Genomic DNA, 15,756 nt, shown 5'->3' on the forward strand with positions numbered 1-15,756 from the left:
TTCCCCTTCTGCACCTTCAGTGCCTTTCTCCCACATAGTGCTAAAACTCCCAATCATACCTAAAATCCACATGTAAAGACTAAAACACAGTAACTCCCACTGAAAAGAGAAAAGACTCCAATTACCTGTTCCATTTCCGTCTAATCCTCGCAAATAAGGAAAACTGTCCACCTCCGAAGGGGAGCTGGCGGCCGTGAGAAACGCGGTCAGGTCACTGTAGCTGGTGTTCTCAGGCAACCTCAGAGCCCTTCTCTGGAAATGAACGCGAGGCTGTGGCCGGGCACCTGCAGAGATTAACCTCCGAGTTATCTCCCCCAGGAGCAGTTTCTGTTTTTAGAAAATGCAAAACCAGGAAGTGCCTCTCTAAGGTTTCAGCACGCCTCCCCCACCCTGCTCCCTCTCACAAGGCCTCCCTTCCCCCATTCATGCAGGACACAGAGATGTGACAACATGCTATTATGGGGAGAGAAATAATAGCCCATTGTCACATTTGTTTTGACACAGGATGTTATTTAGGTTTTTAACAAAAAGCTTTTTCCAAGTTCCATGTGCAAGCAGTCTTGTCACTGCCCAGCATTTGCCTGTGGATCTGGGTAGCATTTTGGGAAACTCCATGTAAATGAAACAAGTAGATGACTATTAATCTCTTTACTCAAACAATGTAAGAGATACTCTTTGATACCGCTGCAAACCCGTCTTTAATCTCCCTGGAAAAATCTGGTTTAATGCCATGAACCAAATTGAAGGAGGGCAAGGGAATTAACAGTGCAACCTTGAAAAGAATTGCAAACAATACCCCAGCGGCAATGAATCTTCTCTTTCTGTGGGAGCTGCCATTTGTCATCATCCAGTCTATTCTGGAGGCGTGCTTCCTACTTGTGATGGATTATGTCACAGAATTTAGGATGAGACTTTTGAAATGATGCAAAATGATGCTTCTTCACCAAACTCAACTCCTTTGTGTAGGAGGACAGGTTGGGCTGACAGGCCCTAGACAGTTGGTTGTGCCGTCCTCTGCAGCTTAACTTTGCTCCAAATTTTCTTTTTCTTTTCTTCTTCTTTTTTTTTTTTGAGATGGAGTTTTGCTCTTGTCGCCCAGGCTGGAGTGCAGCGGTGTGATCTCAACTCCCTGCAACCTCTGCCTCCCGTTCAAGCGATTCCCCTGCCTCAGTCTCCCAAGTAGCTGGGATTACAGGTGCCCGCCACCACACCCAGCTAATTTTTGTATTTTTAGTAGAGGCAGGGTTTCACCATGTTGGCCAGGCTGGTCTTGAACTCCTGACCTCAGGTGATCCACCCGCCTCAGCCTCCCAAAGTGTTGGGATTACAGGTGTGAGCCACCGCGCCTGGCCCAGATGTTGTTTTGATCATAAAACCTGAACTGGTTTTTACCTAATGCTGCGGTGATATTCACCAGACGTAAAGGTGCTAGGTAATTTTGTGCAAACCTGGCAAAAGCATTGTTAAGAGAAAAACTGTAGATCCAACCCCAGGCTTGAGGCAGACCACATTCCACCTGTGCTTTGCTGAGGGTTCCTTCTCCCGGCCCCCTGCTGTCCTGCTTCAACAGCTCTGCACGGAGCTGGTGGGCTTTATCTCCACTCCAGGGTTCCTTTTAACTCTGGATCAAAGAACTTGTAAGGAGTGAAGAAGCCTGTCTAGACGTGTTCTAGAAAAAGGGAGTTTTAGAGCTCCAAGAATCCACTAGCCCAAGTCTCTCTTCTTAAAGGTGAAGTCACTGAGGTCCAAAGGACTTATGTCGGGGGCAGCCTGTCTTGGCTACACACTGCCTAACTGGCAGGGAGTCACAATGCTCCCTCTTCCTTTTAAAAACTAGCAGGTAGACTTCTCCAGGGGCTGGTTCTCCACTCTGTGAAATCCAGGCCCAGGTTTAGAGCCCAGCGAGCAGGTGCCCAAAATCATGAGAGTCCTATCTAACTCCGGTCATCTCTGCTGAAACTAAACAGACACAGACATTAGTCTAGCTCCAGACCATCGATTCCCCTTCTTCATCCCTAAAACAAACCCACAGCGACACACCAGCCTCTGGGGATCTGGGTATTTTAACATTATTGTATTCTTCTTAGTCTGGTCTTATTTTCCCTCGATGTTACAGAATACCGATGTCTTACTCCTGCCACCTCCTTGGTCTGTGGAGAGTTCAAATTCCTCGGGGGTCCCACAAACGCTCTGTGTCCTGCCAGGGGCAGTCTGTTTCTCATCCCTTCTCCCCCTTGCCCACACACATGGCGCACAGCTTGCTTTTCTTCTCCCTTTCCACGCTGCCCTCCAGGATGGAAGGTCAAAGCCAGCATTCTTTCTCATCTCCTCACTCCGGATGATATAACAACATTCATTGCTTCTGGTATTTTTTTCAATGATCAGGAAATATATGTTATCTACTGGTTTTCCGGCTAAATAATGCTGCTGATAGTATTCAATGAACAAGCCCCTGTGTAGAAGCCTGGGTCTCACATGGTGGAAAAGTAAAGCACTCTGCTAATAGGAAGAGAACAAGAATGGTGAGTCTACATGTGATGGAGCAAAGAGGGAGCCTGTCCTCATGAGGGTCCGGGCAGAGGCAGAAGCTGGGTTGGTGATCCCAGAGCAGGGAAGGAAAAGTGCACCCCTCCAGGCCTTAGGAGGAGCCCCTGTGAGATGGGCTGGCAGAGACCTGTGTGAGGGCAGTGGGGCACAGAAACCTTCTCCGACTGGACTGAGGGTTGCTGAAAGACAAGGGGGAGCCGGGGAATGGGCCCAGGATACGCAGCCTAGCCAGGACTTACGGGGACTGGCCTGGGACCCAGAGAACCAGAAACCCAGGCTGCTCTCCCCAGCTCTCAGGGCCCTGGTGTCTCCCCCTGATCCTCTGCTTCTCGTGCCTTCTCGAGCAGATCAAGTGTTACATGCATTTGGGTGGGCAACACATCTCTCTCCCCACTTGTGCAGGAGAATTTGGTCCCTGGCCAGACATCCAGGGTCTATCTGCTGGGGCTGGGGGCTGGGGGTATGTAGCAGGCTATGTGGGGGCAGATCCTCATGGAAAGGATATGGCCGGTGCAGCTTATCTGACACACCCTGGGACTGGCACGACACGGGTACCATCCATGAGGGACTAAACACCCCACCACAAAGCACAGGCAACACCTATGGTGATGAAAATGACTGAAGCAGCACGTGAGGAATTTAAGGGTGCAAGCTATTCTGAGCCACAGCACAAATAAAATCGAAAGATGGTATGCATGGGGTTGGGGGAGCGGTTATATTCTTAAGCCTGCCTCCGTGTACTAAAGCCGCTAAATAGTTCCACACTACAGAAAGGAATATGATTGGGAGGGGGTGGCAGGGTAGGCAGTGGATAAGCCTGTAGGGCTCCATCCCCATCCCCAAAATACTCAGACCCTGCTCTCCTGAAAATACGGGGGTCCCCGCTTCCTCTCGCTGCATTTCTTTCTTTTCTCTTTTTCTTTTTCTTTTTTTTCTCAGAGAGAGTCTTGCTCTGTTGCCCAGGCTGGAGTGCAGTGGCGTGATCTCGGCTTACTGCAACCTCTGCCTCCTGGGTTCAAGCAATTCTCCTGCCTCAGCCTCCCAAGTAGCTGCGATTACAAGTGCCCACCACCACACCTGGCTAATTTTTGTATTTTTAGTAGATATGAGGTTTCATCACATTGGCCAGGCTGGTCTCGATCTCCTGACCTCAGGTGATCCGCCTGCCTCAGCCTCCCAACTCTCTGCTTTCAAAAATCTGTTCTTCCCTCTTCTCTTCTGCCCCTAACCACCTCCAAGGTCAATCCAAGCCTCTAATTTAACTTTTGCTTATTCATTGTAAGACTTGGCTCAACCACCTGTTTTTGCCTTCGTCAGCAATCTCTTTCTCTATAGGCTTTTCCTCCCCAACCAACAAAAATACTCATTTTTTCCCCAGTCTAGAACAATAACAAGCAAACATTACTCTAACTCTGTTATCCCCATAAGCGAATGCCTTCTGTCCTTCCACCAAGCTCCAGTGATGTGGCTTCTACCCACAATGCATGCTGCCCTTGGAGACGTCGACTGTGTGATCCGCAAACCCCATGACCACAGCTCAGCCTCCATCCTCGTCGACCTCTTCACAATGGTTGACACTGTTTGCCCCTCCTGCCCACAATCCCCTTCCTCCTTGGGATTCATGGTCCTGCACTCTGGTTCTCTCCAGTGTCTGCCTGCTGTTTCCTTTGCAAGTCCTTCCTTTCTTGTCCTACCTCTGGATGAAACAGCTCCCAGAGGGCTACCACCCATCGCCTGTGCCATTTCTGTGCTCTGCTCGCTCCCTGTGGGTTCCCTTTCACTGCCACTGCCTTGGCTGGTACCATCCACTCCAGCATTGGATTCTTTTCTAAGCTCCATGCCTGGATTTTCCCTTGCCTTCTAGACACTTCTACCCAGATGCCCATCTGTCACTCTAAAATCATCATCTACCTTCTCTTTCACCTAACAATATTCCAGTCTCCCCAACACCCAGTTTTGATTCTAGGTCACCATCATCATTCTCCCTATCTATCATCCTCAAGTGCCATCATTCTCCCTATCTATCATCCTTGGCATTCACTCAAGTGCCAAGACTGGCCAATCTTCCCTTAACAAATTTCTTGCACCATATTTCTCTCCCTTTTTGCATCCAACAGCGTATGTTACCTTATACTGCCTCTCACCTCAACTATTGTGAAAGCCTCCTATCTGGGCCATCTGCTTCAGCCTCACTCCCTTTTCATCTACTGACACTGTGACTGTTCAAAGATACTACTCTAATCATGTCCTTTCCCTGCCCAGAAACCATCAACGGATCTCTCCCACTTACCAAATTAACAATGATGACAAAAAAAACAACAAAAATGAATAGACCAATATAGACCCAGACTACAACTGCACCTCTTCTCTAAATGAGAGGCATAGATCAGTGCTTTAGAATTTACAAAGTGCATAAATAAAAATATGTTATTTAATATTTACAACAACCCTGTGAAGAAGGAACCCTTTCCTCTTTATGGATGATGAACTACAGCTCAAAGAGGTAAGTGACTTGCCCAAAGTCATTCTGCTTGTAAGAGGTAGAAAGGAATTATTTTAATTCTAACTCTGTATCCTTTCCTATCACACCATGCCTACCTCAAAATAGATGCCCTGCTGACTGCCAACCAGTTCTCATCCTCTGGCCAAATAGGACTGCATGACTAAGTCTGATTGTTTCTTTCCTTTTTTTTTTTGAGACAGGGTCTTCACTTGCTCTGTCACCCAGGCTGGAGTACAATGATGCCATCACAGTTCACTGCAGCCTTGACCTCCTGGGCTCAAGTGATCTTCCCACCTCAGCCTACTGGGTAGCTGGGACTACAGGCACATGCCACAACACCTGGCTAATTTTTATATTTTTTTGTAGAGATGAGGTTTCGCCATGTTGCCCAGTCTGGTCTCAAACTCCTGGGCTCAAGTCATCTGCCCTCCACAACCTTCCAAAGTGCTGGGGTTACAGGTGTGAACCACCACGCCTGGCCTCTCTGTGTATATACATTCATGCATCTCCATGTCTGAAACTTCTTCCCCTCATCCTACAGCTCACCCAAAATGCATGTCAAAAGCCACCTCTTCTATGTAGTCTGTTAATCCCACCCTAAGCTCTAAGCTCTATTTGCATCTCTCTTGTAGCACTGCTCTTACTATGTCCTGTATCATAATTATTTGTATATTTGTTCATCTGCCTAATCAAGAGCATCATGAGAACATGGGTGGTGGAATCACTTAGCTCCAGGTTTAAATCTTTCCTCTACCACCTTATAGTTGAGTGATTTGGGCTTCAGGTTATCTTTAAAATGGGTATGAATCATGCCTGTCTCATAATATGGCTGTTGTGATGTTGGTTCAGAACACATATGGATGGTGTCCAACAGTGTCTCCTGGATAAGCACTGCTTTCCCATTTCCTCTTCCCATTATAGACTGAAGCTCCTTAAACCAGGCGTTCTGTGAAATGCATGGCACTATGTTCTGTATACAGTTGGTGCTCAATGGTACTTATGTGAAGATGAGTTAAACCTGGCAACTCACTATGTTCCAGTAATGCTCTGTCTCCATTCCAACTAGATCAGGGGTCCTCCATTTCAGCACCATTTACATTTTGGGCCAGGTAGTTCTTTGTTTGGGGGTGTCCCATGCATTGCAGCATGTTTAATAGCACCCCTGACCTCTACCCACTAGATGTCTGTAGCAGCCCCCAAAATTTCTCCAGACCTCACTAAATGTCTCTGGGGAGGGGGGGCAAAGTCACCCCCAATTCTGAACCACTGCACTATATACCCTGAGCACCTTCACAAAATCCAGACAACTGGCACTGAGAATCTCCCTGCAACGGGTCTACGACTGCAAAGAGGAGTAGGGAAAGTGTTTGTATTCACGGAACTCAAGAGAGGAGAAGGCATTTCTCTCTTTGTCTCTTTCTGTGTCTTCCGCTGTCTCTCTATCTGAATCTCTGTTCCTCTCCCGAACTATCATATGAACAAAGAAGCTTAAAAAGAATGCCAATAGTAACCTTTTGGAGGGTGGGATGAAGATTTCCGAGTCAATTTCAGAAGATGAAGTTTAAACAAAACCAAGGGTTGCCACCTGAAGGAAAACTAAAGCCGGAGGGTTGCAGAGGTTTTCTGTTTTCTGCCCTGGGGCTCTTTTCTGAGATGCCATTTAGCCTCCTTAAATGGATCAGTGAAGAATTGAGCCAGTAATCTTGGGGATAATGGTACTTTCTCTTCTGCCCTGAATCAGAGTCAAGGAAATCTCTTCTTAGAGCTTTCATCACCTCTTGATGAGTTTATCACATCATCCTTCTTTTCTTACATGTTTAACTCCCTAAAACATCAATAACATTCATTACTCTAATACAGAAAAGGGTCGAGAAGGCAGTCATGGAAACGGCTTGATTATCATAGTGTTTTAAGTGCTAGAATAAGAGGGTAATGATGAAAGTACAAGATAAACTTCAAGAGAGAGAGTGGCCAGCTGTCCAGGAGAAAAGCAGTTCCCGGGCTGGTATTTGTGAACTGTGTCTTGAAGGTTGAGAGGCAGAGGAGAAGTAACAGCATCTATGAAGGGGCACAGATAAAGAAAATCTACCATGTGTGGGGAAGTGAAGGAACTCTCTGTGAGCTACGTGGGGTCCAGGGGCAGAGGGAGAGACTTAGGAAGGACTTGGTAAGTCCCAATCAAGAGTTTGGGGCCGGGTGTGGTGGCTCATCCTTGTCATCCCAGTGCTTTAGGAGGCTGAGGCAGGAGGAACGCTTGAGGCCAGGAGTCTGAGAATAGCCTGGGCAACATAGACCCCATCTCTACAAAAAATCTGAAAAATTAGATGGGTGTGGTGGCGCATGCCTGAAGTCTGAGCTACTCCAGAGACACAGGCAAGAGAATCATTTGAGCCTGGGAGTCTGAGGCTACGGTGAGTTATGATTGCACTACTGCACTCCAGTCCATGCAACAGAGTAAGACCCTGCCAATGAATCAATCAATCAATGAGTTTGGATTTGTGTGGGCCTGCAGGGGAGAGCGTGTGGGAGTTACCGGTAGGGAAGTGAAAGATTCCGATTTGTTTTTGCCCAATTCTGACAGCAGGTGGAGTATGGCCATGGGTGCAGAGTCTGATGTCAGAGCGATCAGGCAGGAGGCTGCTATGAAATTATTCAAGTGAGAAATGATAAAGTTCCAAATAAAGACAGCAGCTCTGGGGGTCCTCACAGAAAAGGCAGCTGGAGTGGAAAGCTATTTTTGAAATAAGAGATAGGCAGAGCAGGAAGAACCCATGAAGGAGATTGAGAAGCAATGAACAGAGAGAGGGCCAGAGAAAGGATGAAGACATCCAGGAAGGCAGAACCGGGTAGGGTGGTGAAGCTGCGGGGAAGTTAGGAAGAAGTGGCCACTAGGTCACGTAACTGTAGCTCTGCTGAGCTCAGCAAGAGGGATTTCTAAGGAATCGTGTGAGGCAGCACAAAAGGGAGTTTAAAGACATGTGCCTGGCAAGGGGAGGTATCTCCAAGGTTCGGGAGAAGATTGTGACTTGAAGGAGAAATAGGGCTTAAGAAGAGTTTTGCTTTGAATGGCAAAGCCTTCAGTGATTTTGAGAGCTGAGAAAGAACTAGAAGAGATGAAAGGCTCAGCATAAATCCAGGGAGGTGTGAGAGGAGGTGATAACAAATGGGCTCCAATGAGAATGTGAAGGGGTTCATGGTGGGGCAGAGAAGCTGCAGGAGGACACTGCCATGTCCTCTTCGGAAAGGCGGCAGGAGGAAGACCACTCGGGAAGGCGTGCTTCCCTGACGGCCTGCTTTCCCTGTGAAACCAGCCACCAGGGCCCTCCTGGGAGGACGGCATGCAGGTGGGGCGAGGGGCATATGGAGTGTGCTGGGAAAAGCTTCCCACAGCAGCTGCCCGGGGAACAGGAAAAGGACCATCTGGGAAACATGAGGAGCCAAGCAGAGGATGGAGACCACTGACCTGGGTGGTGCCAGTCGGCCCGATGACAGTGCCCATGGGCAGCTGGGGGCATCTTGTCTGTATCTTCTTATTTACTCTCATCACACTCTGAGTCGTTGTTTCTGAGACAGCGTGAGGGCCTCCTAGAGGCTCCGGGAGCCAGAGCTGCAGGCTGGCTCCCCCAGTCTCATCTCCGGCATTCATACAATGCCAGCCTCCCCATTCATCCCTTACCAGAAATAATCTGGGATTTAATTTATGGATTTACTACCAAACCCCTCCCCACAAGATTTTGATGGAAATGTGATCTTCAGCAAAGGACAAAACACTCTCCAAGAAAATGATTCGTATAATTTACGAGTGTTCTCTCTTTCCATACTCTTATCATCTCACAGACAAGTTTGGAAACAATTTGCCAGCGTTTTGTGACACTGAGCGCATTTTCAGATATAGTCTACGTGGGGGAATATCCCTCTTGTTGACCAATTACTGAGGCATCACCTAACACTGCAGAGAATACGTGTGAGTCTTCTGACCCTTCCCCTCACCATCCTGTTATCCTAAGACAGTCCTGGCTGGCTGCTTGCCTATCTATCTATGCATCTATCAATCATCTATCCATCTATCCTATCAATCTATCTATCTATCTGTCTGTCTATCTATCTATCTATCTATCTATCTATCTATCTATCTATCTATCATCTATCCATCTAATCTATTAATCATCTATCTAATCTATCATCTATCTATACATTTATCTCATCTATCTATCTATCTATCTATCTATCTATCTATCTATCTATCTATCTATCTATCTATCCGTCCATCCTTCCGTCCGTCCGTCCGTCCATCCATCCATCCAACCATCCATCTACCTACCTACCTACCAACAAAACTACCTATTTATTTGAGACAGAGTCTTGCTCTGTTGCCCAGGCTGGGGTACACTGGCACAATCATGGCTCACTGCAACCTTGAACTCCTGGGCTCAAGAGATTCTCCCACTTCAGCCTCCAGAGTAGCTGGGACTGTAGGCACACAACACCACACCTGGCTAATTTTTAAATATTTTTCGGGTCTTGCTATGTTGCCCAGTCTGGCTTGAACTCCTGGGCTCAAGTGATCTTACCAAAGTGCCTTGACCTTGGCCTCCTAAAGCGCTGGGATTACAGGTGTGAGCCACTGTGCCTGGCCCAGGCTTTCTTTATAAAACAGTGTCGAAAATAACATGTTACACCATTACTTTCCTCACTTTTAAAACGCAACAAAACTGGCCGGGCATAGTGGCTTGCATGTCTGAGCAGGCAAGAATTTATTTTTTTCTCCTGAATCAATTAAAAAAAAATGCAACTAAATGTGACCAGTTTGAGAACATAATTTTAATATGTCATTTATAAATTCAGTATTGTATTAGTTTTGTAGACAATACAAATACATCGGGCATCTCAGCACTTTGGGAGGGCAAGGTGGGCAGATAGCTTGAGCCTAGGAACTTGAGACTAACCTGGGCAACATGGTGAAACCCTGTTTCTACAAAAAAAAAAAAATTAGCCAGGTGTGGTGGTGTATACTGTAGTCCCAGCCACTTGGGAGGCTAAGGTGGGAGGATCACTTGAGCTGGGGAGGCAGAGGGTGCAGTGAGCTGAGATCCAGTCACTGCATTCCAGCTGGGTGACAGTGGGACCCTGTCTCTTAAAAAAAATAAATAAACTGTATTAAGCAAATAGTAGTAAAGACCACTATTTATTTATCTACATGGTAGTAAAGACTACCATTTATTTATCTACATGGTAGTAAGGACCACCTTTATTTAGCTACATATGGCTTTCTTCCAACTAGTGGGAAAACAGGAAACAAAATGATCCATTATTATCATTGCCATGCCTCAATACGACCGAGACAAGGAATCATACAATTAAACATGATTAAGCTCAGGAAGCAGGGCACATTTAAACATTAACAAAATTTTGTAATTTTAAAAAGCTGGCATGGAAATGAGATTATAAAAAGGTGCAGCCAGTTTCTGGTTATGTACAGGAAGCAGTGATAAAATTAACTATAATGAAAACTACCTGAATGTCTTACTCCTCGGGCCGATTTATAATATGCTCATGCTTCTTGCTCCTCAGAGAGAGAAAGAGCTGCTCAAGTACTCGTGTGTGTGCGTGTGTGTGTGTGTGCGTGTGTGTTTGTGTGTGTACTGTACTGTACTTTTCTTAGCTTTCAGAACAAAGAAAATAAGTGGGTTGGGTGTGGCTGCCTATGCCTGTAATCCCAGTACTTTTGGAGTCCAGGGTAGGAGGATCTTTGAGCGCAGGAGTTTGAGACGAGCCTGGGCAACATGGTGAAACTCCATCTCTACAAAAAATACAAAAAAATTGGCCAGACTTAGTGGTGCATGCCTATAGTCCCAACTACTCAGGAGGCTGAGATGGGAAAATCACCTAAGCCTGGGAAGTTGAGGCAACAATGAGCTGAGATGGTGCCTCTGAAAAAAAAAAAAAAAAAAAAAAAAAAGACCATGGAGTAAGTAGTCTATGTAGGAAGTACAAAAAGCAGCTGGATTTTGATTTTTTTTTTTGTATTTGTTTAACTCAATTATTCAATGAATTACTCATTGGGTGTCTACCATTGGCAGGCATAGGGCACAGACCTGGCAGGACCGAGATGATGAAGACACAGTTCTTGGCCTTCTGGTTTTCACCTTTAGTCAGTTAGATAAGGTGTACTCCCAAATATGGTAGGAAAGGGGGGTATCATGGAAAGATCCAGAACTCCCAGCTGGTGGGTTGTTTAATCTGCTGCATTTGGTTACTGATAAGGACGTGAGGGACAATAAGGGAGGTGAGGACCTGTGGCTCCAAGAACAGGAGCCAGAGGTGGTAGAAGGCACAAGAGGTAGAACGACCAGCTCTGGGCTCAGGCAGCTCTCAGGCCACTTGGCAGGAGTGAGTGGGTTTCCCTGTAACACTGGGCCATGAGTGGGACCCACGGACGCCGTCTGCTCCTTTCTGACCTGCTCCGAGTGTCTTCTTCTGCTTCTGCATCCTTTCTGTTCTTCTACCTGGCTCACAGAAGGCCTGGCACAGCTCAGCCTGCATCTCAGGACCATTCAGCCGCTATTCTCAACCCCTGCTGGGTTCTTAGTTCAATCCCAGGAAAAGAAAGGGGACGAGAGCTGCTGGGTCCCACCTGCGGCCACACTATGGACTGGTTACCCCCAAGCTGGGTGCCCACTCCAGATCCAACAGCCATGGCTGGGAGGGATAGGGCCACAGGACACAAGCCCCTCGGCTGCCAGGGGCAGGCGGTGTGACTCTCATCTCCAGTGGATGTTCAGGAAAGACCTTCCAACCATGTGGCATCCAGGCTGCCCTTCCTGTCCAGGAAGGGTTTCCAGACAGATTGGCAGAGGAGGTGGAAAGCCCCAGGTGGAAAACAGAAACTGAGGTAGACCAGAACACAGCAAAAAGAAAAACACTCAGAAGGGAGGTGAGGCCAGGCATGGTGGCTCACACCTGTAACCCCAGCACTGTGGAAGGCTGAGGTGGGCGGATCACTTGAGGTCAGGAGTTCGAGACCAGCTTGGGCAACATAGCGAGACCCCCGTCTCTACTAAAAATAAAAATAAATCATTTGGGCATTGTGGTATGTGCCTGTGGTAACAGCTACTCAGGAGGCTGAGGTGAAAGGATTGCTTGAGTCTGGGAGGTCAAGGCTGCAGTGAGCTGTGATTGCACCACTGCAGTTCAGCCTGGGTGACAGAGTGAGACTGTTTCAAAAAAAAAAAAAAAAAAAAGAGAGAGAGAAAAGTTGAGGCCATATCCCGGAGGCCAGGGAGTGTGAGTTGGCAGAATGGATTTTACTCTGTAGGCCAAGGCGAGCCAGGAAGGGACAGAAAGAACTGGAGCTCCACCTCAGGTAGACCCAACGGGCAGTTTAGCGCACGGTGTGTTGGAGAGCAGAGACTCGAGTTAGAAAGTCTAGCTTCTCCTTCCGAAATCTGGCTCCAATCCTAAGTCAAAGGCTAAAGACGTGTACCCCACAGGGGGGCTACTGCAGTGGTCTTGGTAGAGATCAACAGGGCCTGTGTCAGGGCATGGGCATGGCAATGCTGTGGGCACGCATGGGCAGGGGGAAGGAATGCCAGCGTGCATGGGCACAGAACCGATGACTGTGACATCAGGCTCGCTGCAGCCATATTCCACTCATGGAGATATAAGAAGGGGAGAAGAGGCCAGGTGCGGTGGCTCATGCCTGTAATCCCAGCACTTTGGGAAGCTGAGGGGGGCAGATCACGAGGTCAGTAGATTGAGGCCATCCTGGCCAACATGGTGAAACCACGTCTCTACTAAAAATACCAAAATTAGCTGGGTGCAGTGGCACGTGTGTGTAGTCCCAGCTACTCAGCAGGCTAAGGCAGGAGAATCACTTGAACCCAGGAGGCAGAGGTTGCAATGAGCCGAGATCGCGCCACTGTACTCCAGCCTGGCAACAGAGCGAGACACCATCGCAAAAAAAAAAAAAAAAAAAAAAAAAAAAAAGAAGGGGAGAAGAAGGTTGTGTGTGACTGCTGCTTAGGCAGAAGGAGACTGCAGGGGGCACCCCACTCAGGTGCTGGGTCCTGGAGGAACCCTGTAGAGACTTGAGAGGAGACAGTGAAGTGTCCAGCTGTCAGGGCCAGCAGGGTGGCCATGAGGAGCAGAACACGGAGCGGTGAGGAGGCTGGACAGCCACGACGGACGAAGTGTGGTGTCACTGCAGACCCTGCAGTTCAAGCTTTTACCACAAACACCTCACAGTGCTGCTCCCCAAGAGTGAGGGACAGTAAAACCACACATTGCCTCCTTCAGCATCTTAGTAAAGGGAAAGGTGGGGACAGTGGATGTTGAAGGTGGCTGTGAAGGAGAAGACAAGAGGCCGACAGTGAGCACGTGGGCCTAAAAGCCACGTCTGGCAGAAGAAGGGGTGCAGGCAGCCGGCTGTGTGGGAAGCCCTGTGTGTATAAATGCTGTAGCCTCGTCCCTTCCTTACCAGGGAGGACCTGGACAACCACAGAAGCCACCAGAGGCCCAGGGCCAGGGGATTGTCCAGCCCTGAGTGGAAGGGGTTGGATTTTATTCCAAGTACAATGGGAAAACCATTGAAGATCCAAGCAAGGTGATTTGGTCACCCTCACTTTGTAAACACTTGATTACTGGTTTGGCAAGAGTGAAATGGGATAACCCGTTAAAAACCTACTGCAGTGCCTGAGGGGACATGGTGGTATCCTGGATTTGTGAGGTGGCAATGCAGATGGAGACACCAACCTCATCAAAAGAATGAGATTCGAGGAGAGAAGAATCAAGGACAATTCCTCGAGTTTTGGCCTGAGTTTATAGTGGTATCAACTTAGGTAGACGTTTATACCATTGATCACGGGAAGGCCAAAAATATCAAGCTCTATGTGTCCATACTGAGTTGGAGGTGCCTGACAGGCCTCCAAGCAGAGGCGTCATCCAAGGCCCCATTTCAGTGGGGAGGGTCTGGGCTGGAGAGACGGAATCAGGAGTAATTAGAGCATTGGAAGCCAGAGGCCTAGATGAGATGTTTAGGACCAGAAAGAAGAAATGTGGGCCCAGCACAGGCACTGGAGCCTCCCAAGAAGAAGGGACCAAGAGATAGAAAGAAAGAAAGTTGGGCCAGGCATGGTGCCTGTAATCCCAACACTTTGGGAGGCCGAGGTGGATGCATCACCTGAGGTCAGGAGTTTGAGACAAGCCTGGCCAACATAGTGAAACCCCATCTCTACTAAAAATACAAAAATCAGCCAGGTGTGGTGGTGCTTGCCTGTAATCCCAGCTACTGGGGAGGCTGATGCATGAAAATCACTTGGACCTGGGAGGCGGATATTGCAGTGAGCCAAGATCACGCCACTGCACTCCAGCCTGGGCAACAGAGACTCTGTCTCAAACAAACAAACAAACAAACAAACAAACAAACAAAGCCAGGAAACATGATTCTCAGGCCCATGATTTTTTATTTATTTATTTATTCACTTTTTTGAGACAGGGACTTACTCTGTCCCTCAGGCTGGAGTGCAGTGATACGATCACGGTTCACTGCAGCCTCGACCTCCTGGGCTCAAGTAATCCTCCTGTCTCAGTCTCCTGAGTAGCTGGGACTACAGGCGTGCAGTAGCATACACAGATTTTTTTTCATTTTTATTTTTAGTAGAGATGGAGTCTTGCTTAACTGCCCTGGCTGATCTTGAATGCCTGGTCTCAAGTGATCCTCCTGCCTTGGCCTCCCAAAGTGCTGGGATTACAGGTGTGAGCCATTGTGCCTGGCCAGGCCATGATTTAGATGGAATAGTATGCTCTTAGCACAGAAATGCATTTTACACAAGCATTGTCAATTCTAACCCCATATCAAGGAAAGCACAGTCCCTCAAACCTTCTTTGTGAGCTTTTCTGTGAGAGCAGGAGGGGCAAGATCATGTTTACAGACATCACAACCTGTGAGACAGGTTGAAAAAATAAGAGGGCAAGAGAGAGGATAAAGCCACACTGGCCTGCTTATTAGTCTTTAGGAGTGACCCTGTCCACTTGTAAGTGAGGCAGAGGCAGTGCCCTGGACTGTGGCCCAAACAAGATGAACATGCTCTCCATTGGAGAGGAAAGGGATGGTGGCACACAGAGTGGGACAGCCCCTCCTTTTCTCTCACACACTTACAGTGAACTGATAGTTTAATCAAATTCAAATGTGGTGTGCCTCACAGGGAAAATAGATGCTATGTCCCAGCTGTGGATAAATTCACTGCTATCACCATCCAACAATAAGTGGATTCCAGATCAGGTTCCAAGATGGCCGAATAGGAACAGCTCCAGTCTACAGCTCCCAAGGTGAGCGATGCAGAAGACGGGTGATTTCTGCATTTCCAACTGAGGTACCAGGTTCATCTCACTGGGGCTTGTCGGACAGTAGGTGCAGCCCACGGAGCATGGCGGAGCATCGCCTCACCTAGGAAGCGCAACGGGTCGGGGAATTCCCTTTCCTAGCCAAGGGAAGCTGTGACAGATGGTACCTGGAAAATCGGGACACTCCCACCCTAATACTGCACTTTTCTAACAGTCTTAGCAAACGGCACACCAGGAGATTATATCCTGTGCCTGGCTCAGAGGGTCCCACGCCCATGGAGCCTCGCTCACTGCTAGCACAGCAGTCTGAGATTGAACTGCAAGGTGGTAGCAAGGCTGGGGGAGGAGCATCTGCCATTGCTGAG

At 48.0% G+C, this 15,756-nt stretch overlaps 1 protein-coding gene across 3 annotated transcripts in view, besides 2 other annotated features; it reads right to left on the bottom strand.

Moving 5' to 3' along the window:
- The window catches only part of FAM171A1 (family with sequence similarity 171 member A1), a 162,912-nt gene that overhangs the window by 42,953 nt on the left and 104,203 nt on the right, over positions 1–15,756 (bottom strand). For all 3 annotated transcript variants that reach the window (XM_017015904.2, NM_001010924.2, XM_011519378.3), the window contains exon 4: positions 126–284. In XM_017015904.2, coding sequence (XP_016871393.1) covers positions 126–284 — 159 coding nt within the window. The remainder of the gene's footprint in view (positions 1–125; positions 285–15,756) is intronic.
- Positions 1,119–1,762: an enhancer, noted in NCBI's record as "NANOG-H3K27ac hESC enhancer chr10:15297713-15298356 (GRCh37/hg19 assembly coordinates)". NCBI's record gives its function as "activates a minimal SCP1, AML or CMV promoter by ChIP-STARR-seq in naive H9 embryonic stem cells {active_cell/tissue: H9 hESC(naive)}" and the evidence as "EXISTENCE:reporter gene assay evidence [ECO:0000049][PMID:30033119]".
- Positions 13,485–13,985: an enhancer, noted in NCBI's record as "H3K4me1 hESC enhancer chr10:15310079-15310579 (GRCh37/hg19 assembly coordinates)". NCBI's record gives its function as "activates a minimal SCP1, AML or CMV promoter by ChIP-STARR-seq in primed H9 embryonic stem cells {active_cell/tissue: H9 hESC(primed)}" and the evidence as "EXISTENCE:reporter gene assay evidence [ECO:0000049][PMID:30033119]".

Source organism: Homo sapiens, chromosome 10 (assembly GCF_000001405.40).
Source record: "Homo sapiens chromosome 10, GRCh38.p14 Primary Assembly".
NCBI classification, from domain to species: Eukaryota; Metazoa; Chordata; class Mammalia; order Primates; family Hominidae; genus Homo; species Homo sapiens.